We start from the raw sequence: 17,118 nt of genomic DNA on the forward strand, positions 1-17,118 counted from the left end.
GTAAATCTGCAGCTGCTTATTTATTTGGTAACAACTTTTAATTTTGCAGTAAACCCTGTTGACAACATTGAGCTTAAAAAAAAAAAAAAAAAGAAAGAGCATATTTAATGAAAAACCAGGGGTGCTGAATTTGCTTTTCTCCTGTTGACGATGTAACTTGGATTAAAATTTCCCATTAACCACGGGCTGCACTGCCATCACTGACCACATGAAAACCAGAAATGCTAACCTGCTGGAGAAGCACGAGGGTCTCCTCCAAATGTTACAATTTAGCACATCTGGCTGCAAAGGCCTTCCATGCAGCCCTCTGGGAAGTGTGATGTTTCATTCAGATCATGTGACTATTGTCCAAATTAATTAACTCATTCTAATTCCAAGTTTTTCTTATAAGAATGACCCCAACAGTTAAATGATGTCAGTTTTATGTCAGTGTCATGAGCTGTTGCCAATAGAAAATTATTTATGTTAATTTAAATAATGGTTCCAATTTTCTTTTGTGGGATTTACAAAACTTCTGGAATATTTGTCTATTAAATGAGAAACATCTGACACTATTACGAATTTAATTGTAAATTTAAAGGTTCATAATTGAAGATAATACTTATTTCTATAGTGATAACATAAATAGAAATTTTGGTAATGTCAGTGTTTTTTTTCCACTTTTCAAAAATATGCATTTATTTTTCATCATTTGTTTCTCTACAAAAGGAAAACAATGTCACTGTTATAATGAACACATTTTCTTTTCTAAATTAAAAAAATCCCCTAAGTCAGCAATAAACTTGGAATTGGTTGTAGGGCTCATAAAATTCATAATTGTGTCCAAATACACTGTTATTTTACAAAAATAGAGGTTACAGTTGTAAAAATGTATGAACATTTATTTATTTTAGAAATTGTTTTTCCTTTAATTTTTTACATTGACATATAACAATTGTATATATTTATGGGGTATAGCGTGATGTTTTGATACATATTATGTGTAGTAATCAGATCAGGGTAATTAGCATATCCACCATCTCAAATATTTATCATTGCTTTGTGTTGGGAACACTCAATATACACCTAGCTATTAGAAGGCCTGTACTATATTATTATTAACTGAAGTCACCCCACAGTGCTATAGAACACTGTAATTTTGTATTTTTTAACAAATCTCTATCTCCCCTCCATCCCTTACTAATCTCTAGGGTCCTCTGTACAAGTTTTTAAATGTATGTACAGAATAATTGCAGTTTTTTGTGAAGCCTTCATCAGTTGGGTTTTAGAAGTGTCGGAATCTTTGAAAAACTATATTATGAATCAACTCATGTCCCATATTAGTATTAAAGTTTTGTTGTTTTTAGTAAACCAATCATTTACCTTTTCATTGCATTTCCCCTCAAAATCAGTTGGAAGTGTCTACACAAAGCATTTATGAAACAGAGCATAAGAAAACCTCAGCTTTTGCTGCTTTTAGCTAATTAAAATTATCAAAAACAAAGCCTGCAGACAGGACGCCATATAAATTAATCACCAAAGAAAGAAAGAGGGAGCTGAACAAATTTAAGAATAAGAGTTCAAACGTGTGTGATGTTTAATTTTGAAATTCTATAATTGCATTTTGGAATATTTCAACTCGTGGGAGGGATCTTTTGATAGGATTTGTACTTTTAATTAGACAACTTCATATATATATGTATTTTTTACCAGTACAGAATGAAACCAAGGTCCTCAATTTTGCACTTTCTAAACTTGGTGAAATGTTCAAAATAATCATAAACAGATAACTTATTTGACAAGTTCCGGCTTTTTGAAAACATTTTCTCTGAATAGAGGCAAAGAAACCATAGCTGTGACAATATTAGAGCTGGATTATTTAAGAATTAAATTATGGAAAAGTTTTAATCAACAATATCCCTTATGTAGAATTTGCTCTGAGCTTAGCAGGTATTTCAGCATCTACTGAAAGACTATCTTCTAACAACCCCAATTTCGTTAATCATAAAATGAGCTTTGAAGAAGATTTCTGGCAATTTTATAAAAGAATTAAAAATAATACAGCACATTGAGAAACTAAATTCTTCGGAAAAATTGTAGTGACAGCTTTGGAGACCAGGATTTCTAAAATACCTGAGATTATACAAGAATAATGATTTTGTTTGTTTGTGTTTTTTTCACACTGAGATAACAAAAAGTTTTTTCACATTTTGCTTAGTGTGTACAGATACATGCTATTTTATTTTATTTTTAATTAATTAATTATTATTATTTTTTGAGATGGGGCTGGAGTGCAGTGGGCGATCTCAGCTCACTGCAACCTTCTTCTCCCGGGTTCAGACGATTCTCCTCTCTCAGCCTGCTGAGTAGCTGGGATTACAGGTGCATGCCACCATGCCCGGCTAATTTTTGTATTTTTAGTAGAGACAGGATTTCACCATGTTGGCCAGGCTGGTCTCGAACTGCTGACCTCAGGTGATCCACCGGCCTCAGGCTCCCAAAGTGCTAGGATTACAGGCGTGAAACAGTGCGCCTAGCTAGACACATGCTATTTTAAAAGAGAATTTTATTAGGGCCGGGCGCGGTGGCTCACGCCTGTAATCCTAGCACTTTGGGAGGCCTAGGTGGGCGGATAACCTGAGGTCAGGAGTTTGAGACCAGCCTGGCCAACATGGAGAAACCGCGTCTGTACTAACAATACAAAAATTAGCCAGGCGTTGTGGTGCACACCCGTAATCCCAACTACTCGGGAGGCTGAGGCAGGAGAATCGCTTGAACCGGGAGGTGGAGGTTGCAGTGAGCTGAGATTGCCCCACTGTACTCCAGCCTGGGCAACAGAGCGAGACTCTGTCTCAAAAAAAAAAAAAGAGAATTTTAGTTTTGAAAACTTTTTTTTTTGTATAGAACGATTTTAAAGGTCCGCCGGTAAAATAAAAGCAGCTGTCAATTCAGATTTCATCTATCTATGCAACTTTAGCTCTATAACTGTAATTATTTTTGATGCCCTTTTCCCTTTCAGAATTGTCCTGGTGTGGAAGAATAATTATATGGTCGCGCTCTCTATATAACAGGGCGGAATAGTAAAAATGCTCTCCAGAAAGGAGCTTTTCAGGTTTTCTTCATCTCCATTGGCCTCAGGAGAGGTGTTATTTTTGCTAGGTATGAAGTTTTTTCTGGTTGTTGTCTCGACCCTGACACCATAGAGTTTGCTTCTTTGTCTGGGTGGATGTCAGGGCTGAGAAGGAAACAGCTCTGTCACTTGAGAACTGGCTTAATCTGTGGGGAAATCAAACTTAGTCTCTATGTTTCCTCTGTAAAATATTAACTGTTAAGGTGCCTTCCGACTCAAACGCAATGTTATCATCAACCTTTAAGAGAATCGGTCACTTCTGTTCATTTTCTCTTCCACTAGATGGCGCTGTCCGTCACATTATAACAGTGCTGCTCAGGGCCTGGAACGGTCAGTTGCTACAGCTTTTCTTTAAGGTCTGTGAACTCCCGCCCTGCCTTAGACCTTCTGCCCCTGCTGCTATGGGGACGTTGTTGAAGTGCTTTCTTCTCCTTGCCACCAAGACACTCTGCAACATTCCTTAACGTTTCATTCTAGGCCACCTCCCCAAGCTTAAAAAATTTGTTTATGGTAAGAACGGTTAATATGAGGTGTAACTTCCTAACTAATTTTCAGTGTACAACAATATATTATTATCAGCTGTAATAATAATAACAATATATTATTACAGCGTTGAACAGCAGATCTCTAGAATCTATTCATCTTGCTTAATTGAAACTTTACTTTCCGTCTTTCTAGAACTCACGTTGCACCCGGCGTGACTATGATTTACCACTCACAGTTCAGGGTGGGGACACTGAAATACGAGGCTCATAGAGTCTGGTGGTACTGGGTCTTGGTGAGTAGGAGCAAGCAAGGCACTGCCCAAAAGCACTTCTACCCGTATGAGCATCCGTCCACAGGTAAGACCCGGGGACTCAGCCCCAACTTACCTGATGTGGCTCTGTGAGCACCAGGTGTGTGGGGCCGGGAGACAGGGACCACCCTAGTTTAGCTTCCTTAAGACCTTCAACAGTGGCTCTGCAAAGTGCTTATAAAAGGAAAAATCAGTGGAATGAATCCCAGGGCAGCTGAGATCTGCTGTGGATCTACTCTGTACCAGCCATGTGCTAGATGCTTGATATACACAACCACATTTATGTGTAGCACAAAAACCCTGTAAGGTAGGGACTGGTACTTTGATCCTCACTTTGTTTCTTGAACTTTCGCTAATTGTTCTTTGCTTCTGCCTCAACTCCGCCCCTTCTGTCCCTCTCAGTCTGATATACCAATGGACTGCCCTCCTAGCTTGGTTTCCTAGATTCCAGTACCATTTGGTGCATTATTGCAATTAACTGTTGAAAATCATGAGCCTCTTTCATGTTAGGGAACTAGGTCTTCTGGGTGGAATCCAGCCCTGAAGGCTGGGAGTTGGTAACTTTGCCATGTGTTTCTTGTTGTCACGAGATGCCTCATCCCTCATTCTAGGAGTCCTAAAAATTTCATATGTCTCAGCATCTCCTGAGAATTTTGTTAAAATGCAGATTCCACGGTCCCATCTCTATAGGTTCTGACTTATTATCTAAGGTAGGCTCGAGAATGAGTATTTTGAAATAAGCATCACGGGTGATTCTGAGGCAGTTTCCAAGGATCCTGTGTTGGGAAACTCAGCCCCGTGGGGCTGGCTCATTGTCATGGATGCCCTGTCTTGGTGCCTGCTTCTTAGCTCCCTGCCTATCTCTAGAACAGGTACCCCATGTGAAACGCGCTCATCAGGAATCTGTCCCTTTGCCCCTGGGAATCTTCTGTAGTCCAAACCAGGGCCTTCACCCTCAGCTCTGTTTTCAGGTGTGAGGCTCTTGCTCTTCCTCAGAGACAGGTTCCATGAGTAACCTTTTCCTTTCGGTTGGGCCTACTCCCTATAAGCAGGGCATGGCCTCACACCCAGTGCAGGCTTGGTAATGCCTTAATTGTGGAGCACACAGAGAACAAGTGTTACCAGGACGGGACAATGGTGGCAGGAGCCATGCTTCTGCCCAGCCCTAGAGGATGATGACGATTTCTCAGGCAGGTTAAGGGTGGGGTGGAAGCTATTTCTAGGAAAGGAAAAGCAAGAACAGTGAAAGGGCAAGGTGTGTTTGGGAGCCTAGAAGAGGCTGTGTAGCTGAAATGCATGTGTCAGTGGAGAATGAGTCACAGATGCATGGTGGGGAGAGGCTGGACATCCACCCCCAGGAGATTGTCCTTCATGCTGGCTGAGGAGTCAACAGGTGTCCTTGCAAGGGGGAGACAGACTGAATGAAATTGGGGGACTCAGTAGGAGAAAGAAAAGCTGATCAGAGGCTGTTGACTCTGATATAGAATAAAAGTAATGAAGGCATAAACCAGGACAGTGGTAGAAAAACCAGACCACAGAGGAGAAAATGTAGAGAAGTTTGATAGGTAGAAGCTAAGCATCTTGAAGCCCAGTTGTGGGTAGGGGTGGGTAAACAGGAGAAATCAACAACTAACATTTTAAGCTGAAGTGAATAAACAGATGGTGAGGCCATTCTACAAGACAAATAGAAGGTGTCAAACTAAGTAACACATAGAGAGGGAAACTCTCCAAAAGAAAATGATATTTATTTCGCAGTAGCCTTGCAATAGGAATATGTGCATCATAGTAAACTAACTGTGTGTATTCAAAGAGGTTGAGGCAAGGAGAAATTTTTAAAGGTAAAATAAGGAGGATTACATAAGTTGTTTTGAATTAATTATCCTTGGCTACAAGAATCAATACCAAGGGTGGCATCAGTCCAATGTTAAACAGGCAGTTGGTGGACAGATGTCCTTGTATAAGGAATTTTTTTGTGTGAGGTTGTGATGTCCTTTGTGCAAAGTTATGGCTTTTGCAGAGTCTTTTGTGATACTTCTTGTTATCAGGTGTATGTGTATGAAAAAAATCCCTTCTTGCCTTCTCTGGCTCCATTTTGTCAAGGCTTGACATAAATGACTCCATTTGATTCTGACAACGTTCACATTTCCCCCTTTTGATCAAGATTTTGCTCTGAAAGCATCAGCGATCAGTCATCTTGATAAGTTTTGGTTATCCCTCAGTGTCAGTGTGGACCTGTCCCAGGTTGCTGATCTGATCCTCTGTTGGAGAGAAGTGACTGGTGACTAGGAGTCCGGGTCAAAATTCTTTTAGCAACATTTGAGCAACAAGGGAGGTTTGGAAGGAGTGGCTCTTGACTAAGTCGACCTGGAGTCCATTGTCAAGTTCAGTTTTTGTCTATTCCATAGGCCTTGGCTATCATCTCAAAGCACTGGGCCAGCATTAGTCTGCTAGGATTGTACTTAGCATTATCTTGCCCAAAAAAAAGGTAGGCACAAGCAAGGGAAAATTAAGAGGGGTAAGAATCTCATTATGCTGGGAGTTTTGTTCTGTCGCTGTGAGAAAAGCCATCCACAACAGTCAACTGCCTATACCTCGTCCTGGTTTGGAGTCTGAACACCTCCAGTAATGGAATTAGGTGGTCTAGTGAAGTTTTGGTGTGACCCATACATCAGGCATGAGACTTGTCCCTTAAAATTCATTTAGTTTCAGCTACAGGGCTTCAGGAACAGACCAGTTATCGTTCTTAGTTGGAGCATTGCAGCTAGATATTGGAGGAAAGTAAGATAATTCAGAACCTAGTTCAGTCTACAGGTAGATAACCAGAACTCAAAAGCAATAGGTAGGACTACAATCTAATGAAAAGCGTATTATAGCTATAGAGAAACATAGTTTTTCTCTCTATAGTAATCCTGATTTTTATCACAGATAATCAAAATAAGACTAATTTGTTTGTAAAATAAGTTTAGTTTTTATCAAATTTTACCTGATCATTTACATAGTGTGACAAGAGTAATGATTGACCACATGGTAATTTCAGATTAAAAAACCCCTTGAGGCTAGAAAACCGAATCAAGGCAGACTTCAGACTTTGTCTGCAGGACGTATAAACAACTTAAAACTAAAATCTAAGTCAAAACCTTGGTAATATAACCAACACTTGCAATTGTATCCTTTTATAAAAAGAGGAGATTCTTATTGCTAGAAAAATAAGAACATTCACAAATAGTTTCCAAATTTTGGAGGGATCAATCAGCAAAAAAAAGTAAATGTTTCCACTTTTGTTCACAAGAGTATATTTTACCAAATTGCAAGCTGTAGATAAAGAGAAAAATGGTAAAGAGAAAATTTCTTTAAATCTGGGAAGCAAAACATTTAAATAAAGAGCCAATAGTTTTCAAATAAAAGCCATAAAACATAATCTTTATCAGTTATTCAATTTCATGTAATTAATTTTTTGTTTTGCTTGATCTTGATTAGCAGTTTCACAAATTCAACAGTTTCTCCTTTAAAGTTGAGGAAAATTTTTATTCAGTCCATCATCTAAACATTATTAGAAATCTGCATTCGAGAGTACTGGTTAGAATCTTTGCCATGAATCTGACTGCAGATGCCTTTAGAGAAGAATCAAAACAATAACTGTGGATGACAAAAACTTAGAATAACCATGGTTAAAAATCTGGAAATTGATAAGAAATTTTTTTTTTGTGGCATACAACAAGATAGCCAGAATTATAACTGATGACATGCTAGATTTTAAGGAATTTTGAATCACTTTGGAACATTCGTATCAATAACATACTCATAAATGTAACTGAGATAAAAATCTAACATCAGATATCATTTGATAATGTTTCCCATATAATTCAACATATTAATTCAGCCTAATTTAGTTTAATATGTCATTTCCATAAAACTTTGAGATGTTCCAGGGTCCTCTGGAACATCCCAAAGTTAGTTTGAGATAAAAAGAGATTTAATTTAGAACTTGATTGTGGGGAAGCCTGCCAAAAATGTCAAAAGGTTCAAAACACTTTATCAAAATGGGATAACATGTCACTGTGAAGTAATAGTCATTCATTTAAACAAAGTGATGTTCAAAAGACTTTAGAAGCAAATATAGACAGTCACATGGCTGTAAGAAGAAAAATCCTTAACCCTTTCGAAGTTCATTTTTCCTAAGTAGTAAACTCATGAAGACAACATGAAGCACAAGAAATGACAAAATATTTGTTTCCTAGGCCAATTACTAAAAGGTAAAGAAACAAACCTCCTTCAGCGTGATTGCTTCCGCATATGGGAAGCTTGTTTAGATAATCTGGAAGTCAAACCTGATGAAAAGGTGCTTGAATTCAGTCAAGCACAGGAAGAGTCTGTGCCCAAGTTATGAATGTACACCATATGACAGAAGAAATAAACAAGAAAGCCAGTACCTTGAACAGGGGAATGTATGGCTTTTAGAAAAAGTAAAGACACCTGAAATTGCCTGGATGCAAGCACAATTCGGACAGATCAAGAAAAGCCAAGAGTACAGAATCAAGTTATACTGGAAGAAAACATTGCTTTTCTAAGCCTTCAGGACAAACATTTCAGCATCAGGTCACAGCAGCAGATTAATAAATGGAAAAAAAAGTTATAGGAACTGATGAGAAGGTTGAAGGAGAGAATTACCATCCCAGCCAAGCAAAAAGCGGTACTTTCTCAAGGACAGAAACAGCAGGAGGCAGTGATGCGTGACTTGCAAATCACAAGCTGTGGATACAACGGAAGTTGAACTTCCAAGATATTGAATCTGAAAAGCTTCAAGAGGAAAATTCTACCTTGAGAAATAAAATTGCCATTCTAAGTGAAGAAGGCAGCATTCTCAACCTTAAATAGGGAAATTAAATGGATCTCAGGAAGAAATACGGCAGAAATAAAAACTGTAAAACAAGAAGATGTTGCAGTTCAGAAAATGGTTGAAAAAAATTCAGAATTAAAAGAAAAACTTTTTTTTTTGCTAGAAAAGATCAACACTTTAAGTAAATTTTGTTATTCCAACATAGGGGACCAAAATATTCTAGTTCCGTATTAGTATATTAATGCTCGATTTTTGGAAAAACTTCTAAATGATTCCTTTAATTATAGCCAAATTGATTACACACAAAATTTCTTTCTTTCTTTTTTTTCTTTTTGAGACAGTTTCACTCTGTTGCCCAGGCTGGAGTGCAGTGGCATGATCTCAGCTGACTGCAACCTCTGCCTCCTGGGGTCAAGCAATTCTCCTGCCTCAGCCTCCTGAGTAGCTGGGATTACAGGTGCACACCACCATGCCCGGCTAATTTTTGCATTTTTAATAGAGATGGGGTTCCACCACGTTGGCCAGGCTGATCTTGAACTCCTGACCTCAAGTGATCCACCCGCTTCAGCCTCCTAAAATTGCTGGGATTACTGGCGTGAGCCACTGTGCCTGGCCAAAATTTCTTTTATAAATTTATTATTTATAAAACATTTGCAACGTGCTCAGAACTTCTACAACATGCTTGGACCTTCAGTTTTGTAGTTTTGTGCTATACTTCTTTTTACCAGTCATTTTATTTTAGGACAAAAAATTTACTTTTTTTTTCTCTTTCCCTTTCCTTTTTTTTTTTTTTCGTGACAGTCTTGCTCTGTCACCCAGGCTGGAGTGCAGCGGCATGATCTTGGCTCACTGCAACCTCAGCCTCCTGGGTTCAAGTGAGTCTCTTGTCTCAGCCACTCCAGTAGCTGGGATTACAGGCACGTGCCACCATGCCTAGCTGATTTTTGTATTTTTAGAAGAGACAGGGTTTTGCCATGTTGGCCAGGCTGGTCTTGAACTCCTGACCTCAGGTGATCTACCAGTCTCGGCCTCCCAAAGTGCTGGATTACAGGCGTGAGCTACTGTGCCTGGCCCCCTTCCCATTTTGAAAAGTTCTTTGGTTTTTAACCTTCGTTACCAAAAATGTATTTTCACAGCTATAATTTTTTAATTTCTTTCTCACATGCTTACTGGTTTTTTTCTATGTTGTTTCTATTTCCTTTCTAAGTCTGTATTTTGAAACAACCATTAAATCACCTCTGATTTAGACAATAAAGAACTCATTTTCTATGCCTTTCTTATAATTTTTCCCATCGAAAATACATCTTAGCTTTCTGGTACACTTTGTGTACAGAATTGTATATACTAATTAGGAATTTTACTCATAGTAACCTTAATTTCTAGTGAAACCTTAGAAGTGAGCAGTTTTGAACTCTTATTCTTATACCAACAGCTTATAAATACATATTTTATAATTTTTAGAAACATAGCTTCTCATACAACAATTTTTAATAGTTAACAATTTTATTAATAGAGTCAAATGTATTTAGTTGTTCTATAAAATTTAAGAAGTCAAGAACAAACTTGTACTTGTGTTCAGCAATTTATTTTTCATATTGGAAATGACCCAGACACTTAACGAGTATCTATTACTTAATTCAACATAATATTACTTTAACATTTCAAATTACATGAAAAGTTTATTTATAAATATTTATCCAACTTATAGTTACCAAATTTATTTTTTTAAACAATTATACCTAGATTACTTATGAAAACTGCAATATTCAACAGGTCGAGTCATTATTTCAAGTGATTTCTTTGTTAAGTGATTTTATAGCCTGTAAATATCAGGCATTTATCACCCAAGTAAGAACTTTAAAGTAAATATGTGTGTATTTTGCCAATAATTCAGAAGGTACAGCTATTTTCATTAAATTAACAATATTAAACTAGCCTTATTCATGAAAGACTTACACAAAGATCATTTTGTTTTTAAGCTGGATTTATACTTTCATTACTTTAAAACATCTAGGGGAGACAAATATAATCCCATCTGACCAATAAACCCAGGAAAAAATGTATGCTGATAATTCTGAAGACATTTCTATTTTTATATTATCAATAATTTAAAAATCATGGATCTTAAAAACATTTGAGCTAGTTGCTGTATTTTTGGTAACATATTTGATTTAAACACTTATTTTTTTCCTTTTAAGTTAATTAATTAACTAGAGCTCTTTCATGAATTCTGGTTGAAAGCTATTACATACACACAACATGAAAACACACAAACAACATAAATACAGAAGCAGATTCCCTAGCTTCCTTTTTATTTATTTATTTACTAATACTTATTTACTTATTTTTAGAGATGGAGTCTTGCTCTGTTGCCCAGGCTGGAGTGCAGTGGTGTGATCATAGTTCACTGCAGCCTTGAATTACTGGACTCTACTGATCCTCCCACCTCAGCATCCTGAGTAGTTGGGATTACAGATGTGAGTCATGGTGCCCATCTTCCCTAGCTTTCATCTTAGAATTTTAGTCATAAGACAGTAAAATATAGTAAAATAAAATCATGACATTAACTGTTTTATATTTTTATCCAAATTGTGTTTCTGACAAAATGGGACAAATCTATCCTGCTTGATAGCTTAGCGTTATGATTTTTATTTGCCTGATAATCTTATGAAGGCTGTGGACCATACTTGGGATAAAACAGTTTGTTGTAAAAAAGTATTTTACCATGTTTTCACCTCTCTTTTCAATTTTAAGTGAGTTGAGAGATTAATTCTTTCAATGTTTACATTTTACAGTCACGTGTTGTTTAATGATGAGGATACATTCTGACAAATATGTCATTAGATGATTTCCTCATTGTAGGAACATCATAGAGTGTATTTACATGAACCTAGATGGCATAGCCACTACACACCTAGGCCATATCGTATTGCCTGTTGCTACAAACCTGTGCCGCATGTAACTGTACTGAATATTGTAGGCAATTGTAACACAATGGCATATTTTTGTGTATCTAAACATATTTAAGCATAGAAAAGGTACAGTAAAAATACATATTATAATCGTATGAAACCTCAGTCCTGTATGTGGTCGGTTGTTGACTGAAATGTTGTTATGCGGTATATGACTATAGTTAGAATTGGCTGAATTGTGCGAGACCATCTCCAAGTGGTCTTAAATTTTAGTAACAAATTTTCCTTTGTTTGCTGGTCTGGTTTGCTTGACTAGTCAATGCAGGCAGGGAAGCATTTTATAAAAATGTATTTGCTTTTATTTTATGGCAGACCAAGTAAATTTTATGCTGGACAGAGATATATTATAGCTCTGAGCTCAAGATATTGACCTGTTTGACCTGGAAGCTTTTCATAAGAACATTTATCTAGTTCTTTCCTTTCAGACTATCAATCCTTCAAATAACAGTTCCATTACTCTAAGTGATTATTAGACAGTCAAATCCAAATTTACATTAAAAGGGATGACTCCTCAAGAGGCTGTCATTGAGAATGGTCTTCTGGTGGGGGAAGTGGAAGCTGAGAGAAAGATTGCATGGACCTTTTGCTTTTGTGGCAATATTTTTTTTCCAGTGAGCTGCTTTTTTATACTAGTTTTTATACTGGGAGCTTCTATCTGCTGTAATTGAAGTTTAAGGGTTTTAGTGGTTTTCTTTGTAGTAGCTTCCTCAAGAGTGTAGGCAAGTTGGTTTGCTAAATTAATTAGATAGGGAGTGGGCATAGTTTCCCATTCTGTGTGAACTCCTTTAACAAACTGGGAAAGTTTTTAAGAAAGGCAATTCACAAACATAGAATTAAAATTACTCAAGTAGAATCAACATCAATAGGTAATTGATATGGTTTGGCTGTGTCCCCACTCAAATCTCATCTTGAATTCCCATATGTTGTGGGAGGGATCTGGTGAGAGGTAATTGAATCATGGGGGAAGGTCTTTCCCGTGCTGTTCTCATGATAGTGAATAAGTCTCATGAGATCTGATGGTTTTATACGGGGGGAGTTTCCCTGCACAAGCTCACTCTTTGCCTATTGCCATGTAAGACGTGACTTGCTTCTTCTTGCCTTCCACCATGATTGTGAGGCCTTCCCAGCCACATGGAATTTTAAGTCTATTAAACCTCTTTTTCTTTATAAATTACCCCATCTTGGGTATGTCTTTATTAGCCCCATAAAAATGGACTAATACAGTAATAGAGAATTAGCTAGGAAACTTCTAAGAAAAATAAGTTTAGGGAGTTTGAATGATCTGTTTAATAGCCACAAATTATCCTTGGTGTAATTTGTCCATTGATTAAAAATATATACAAGAATGGACCATAAATTTTGAACAGATAGCTGGCTGGAGTCACAGAAAGGTTGGCATGCCTCAAGATTTGAGAATCCCATTTCATTTCTTAATCTCTGAGAGCAATAAATAAATAAATAAATAAATAAATAAATAAATCCTATAAATCCTATCAGGCCATGTCAGGGGTTTGGACTAATGTTTTAGATGGTGGATACTGCCCTAGTGTCTTTTAATTTTGGCCATCTTGTGCCTACCATATGGAATGTTCATTTTTACTTTTGGGAGATGTTCAGAAATGAGGTAAGGGGAAAAAAGTAAAATAGCCGGATAATTTACAGACATGTGTGGCCAAACCAAGATGAAATCAAAGAGTGCTCACAAAAATTTTAGACCAGGCAAGCAGACCAAACAAAAATAACTTAGGCATGTAAAAAGATCCCAAACTGAATTCACCGGAAAAAAATGAGGTCCTCACAAATGGAATGTAAATTCAGTAGAAGCTAGAGTACTCTCCAAAAGGACACTTGTCTTTATATCAGAAAGGGCTTGCCAAAAAAGACTTTATAGTCTCAAGAGGGATGCAGGGTCCTTCATTTAAGGCAGTCTTATACCAAAAGAGAAGATCCCAAATAAAGTCAAAAGAACTCATCAAAAGGAGGGAGTGCAAGAATCAGAGAGGAGATTCATCAGGGTAGAAAAGGCAACTCCTGGAAGTAGATAGTGCAAAGGGCTCTGCTGGGACCACACTCAGTTCCAGGGGCCATTGATCCATGTGAGGCGAGCTCACTCTATCCTGCTTCTGGACACTATGATGTCAGACTAAATAACAAACAGAGAGGAAAATTCTCTAAATAAAAATATTTATTCAGGAGTAGCATTGCAATGGGAATACATGTGTCTTAGTAAATTACATGTGTATTCAAAGAGGTTCAGGCAAGGGGAAGTTTTTGAAGGCAAAACAAGGAGGATTATGTAAGTTGCCTTGAATCCGTTATCTTTGGCTACAAGAATCAATAGCAAGGATGGCATCAGTCCAAGGTTGGTCAGGCGGTTGCTGGACAGATGCCCCCAACGAAGTGTTTTCTAAGGTTTTGATGGCCTGTATGCACAGCTGTGGTTTTGGAGAGTCTTTGGTGATAGTTCTTGTTATCAGGCATATGTGTGTGAGAACCTATCTTCATGGCTTTCCCAGGCTGCGTTTTGTCAGGGATTGGTACAGGTGACTCCATTTTGATTCTGACAACTTGCACAGATAAAAGCCAGCTTGGAGTAAATAGATTGAATTCAGTTTGGATGTGCTAGGTTTGATGTGTTGACAGTTTTCTACTGGCCCAGATGTCAGCACTTCATTTAAAATCATGTATTGGAATATTCTTTCATAACTTTACTGCATAAACTGGTGGAGTGCTGTGTATGTGTGTGTGTGTGTGTACCTACCTGTATGTATAGTTTGGGGTGGGAGAGGTGTTTAAACCAGTGAAACGTAATTATGCCAATTAAAAAATAAAATAATTTATCATTTAAAAACTGATGTTTTGTTTATTGATTGGGGCACAAGACTAGGTTCCTTTTATCCACTCTGTTCAAATTAAAGAACTCTTATTAATCATCTTACTTATTATGTAATGTTTTTCTTCCCTTTTTCAGAAACTCCTTCCCATGACAATTAAAAAACCTACAAGATGCATACTTGCTCCCAGGAATCATTGTGATTACTAGAATACTATAATATTGAGGGAAAAAAGCTATCTAAGTCTGTGGAGGGGGTCTCATTCTATTGCTGTGGTCACTGTCCCTGTTCAAACACAGGCACGAGGTACATGACTTCCTTCATTGGTAAATGATCTGGGTGACCTGGGTATGTAATGTCCCAGCCAGGTTGCTCTTCAGTGGTAGGGCATCCCTGTCCACTGAAGCAAAGCTCTTTGGTGACCTAAGGCTGAAGCCAGTATTGCTGGCACAAGGATAGTGTTTTGAGGATAGGGTGGGAGATGTCTTTGCCCTGATTAGTATTCTCAGTTACAAAAAGACCACACCACCATAGGCCTGGACTCTCTACAGTTACACTGCCATTTTGGTGCTGATGTTTGTTAATGTATACACACTTGCAGCCATTTTTCTAAGGAATGCCACATGATGCCCAGGTCTAGACCCACCTTCCCCCCAAACTTCCATATCTCAGCTTTTGAAGCAGAGGAAGAACTTCCTTCTATTGGATTCAGGGCTTGCTTCTACTTCTTGACCTAGAATGATACTTCTTTAAACGACTGTTGGAATCAATCAAAACAATAGATGAAAGTCAGGTGGCTGTCCCACTGCTGCCTTGAAGAGATATCTTACTTTCAGAGTTGCCTCAATGCCCGATGTCAAGTTATGCTTGACAACATAATCAGGCCGTGAGTACTTATCAGATGCCCACAGATGGTGTAATACATGGTGCTCACACACTCAGGCCCTCCTTCAAGGATTTATAGGTGATAAGTACATAATTAAGTGAAGTATGTCACAGAAAGGTAGTAATTACAACCGTATCTTTAAAAGGGAGGGGAAGGTTAGAGAGGGGGAGAACGAATTGGGAAAACCTAACCAAGGCGGCCGACTTTGAACCATTCAGAAACTCAGTTTCATATTTAATAAACACCTACTGACCAGCTACTAAGTGCCAGGCACTTCCACATAATTATTTTTGTTCTAAGAAATATAATTAATCCTCAAGTGTATGCTGCATGGCTCGAAAAAAACAATTCTTTAAAATCATAGAGTTCCTCAAGGCCCAATAGACCTAAATCTTTCATTACAACATTGTAGCCTGAAGAGTGTAGCCTGCTTGCTTAAATGTGCAGGAGTTTGCCAAACCCCAGATGCTCAAGAGAACTCAATGAGCAATTGTTGATAATTATGAATCCATACACAAAAATGGATGAAGAGTTCACTTGGGTCATTTAATTTTCTCTTTCTTTATAGATCCTGAGATCACTAAGCTTGAGTTGCTGTGGCCTTTCTTAAATTGTAGTCAACATTTGGATTACTAATTTGTGCCAACTTCACAGGGAAGTACAAGAAACGTCAAAGACCTGGGCCACGTCTGTGTTTCTCAAATATTCAGGGATGGACCACAGAGCAATTTTTACTATCAAACTCAGATAGCATTGTTCTTTGGATGTAAATACAGGCAAATAGTTTTTGAGGCAGTAAAGATTTAAGAGTAGGAAAGATACGGGTTTGAGTTACCCTATTTAGAGTTCAGAGACCTCAGCAAGTCACTTCACCTCTCTGAGTTTCCATTTCCTAATCAGTAAAATTGAGATAATATTCCCTGTCTCCTACTGAGGGTTAAGTGACATAAACTAATAAAATACTCAGTTTAGTGCCTGGCAATAGTAAATATTCAACAAATATTTGTTACTTGTTTTTCCATTCTCCTAAATTAAATATCATCTTATACCTAGTCCTAATATAGATAACTTGCAACAAATGCCAAAGGTTTAAGACATTATTTCAATGAAATAATTGTATTTATTAAAGTTTCATTTCTGTGATTTGGGGAAATGCTGTTATTTAAATATGGTTGAGGAAAATTTTAATCCAAACTGTGGCACCCAGGGCATTGTGAGATCATGACTTGAGCCCCTCTAGCCAGTATGGTTTAGGGATGACTGTTACTTCCCATAATAAGGTAACCATGTAATCACATAATTCCCACTGATTTAAATAGTTATTTCCAAGATCTTGGGAAATAGGATCATTGGGCATTTCCAAGATCTTAGGAATAGTATCATTGTATTAATACAAACCTATCAGATGGATTTCAAGACCACTTGGACTCTAGCTCATACTTTTGCCTCCTTGTACCTTATTTTCTACTAGGGAAGACTGCAGACATCCTTTCAGTGGTAGACACCCTACACAGATATAGGACACAATCATACATTTTAGTTCAAGAGACTCAGGGGTTGCTTATCTCCAGCCTTGTACTTACAGTTGCTAGGACCCTGACATCCTCTTTCACATGGTTGAAAATACTCCCCATAGATATTTTAATGGTTGTCTGTCAAGGCCAGGGACATCTAGAGAAGGCCA

The 17,118-nt window shown here is 37.7% G+C and overlaps 1 protein-coding gene across 1 annotated transcript in view; it reads left to right on the top strand.

Moving 5' to 3' along the window:
* Positions 1 to 3,876: 3,876 nt before the first annotated feature.
* SERPINB12 (serpin family B member 12) overlaps positions 3,877 to 17,118 on the top strand; it is a 50,220-nt gene continuing 36,978 nt past the window's right edge. The window contains exon 1 of the mRNA XM_005266778.4: positions 3,877 to 3,951. Within this exon, the coding sequence (XP_005266835.2) occupies positions 3,934 to 3,951 (18 nt within the window). The 5' untranslated portion in view covers positions 3,877 to 3,933. The remainder of the gene's footprint in view (positions 3,952 to 17,118) is intronic.

Source organism: Homo sapiens, chromosome 18 (genome assembly GCF_000001405.40).
Source record: "Homo sapiens chromosome 18, GRCh38.p14 Primary Assembly".
NCBI lineage: Eukaryota > Metazoa > Chordata > Mammalia > Primates > Hominidae > Homo > Homo sapiens.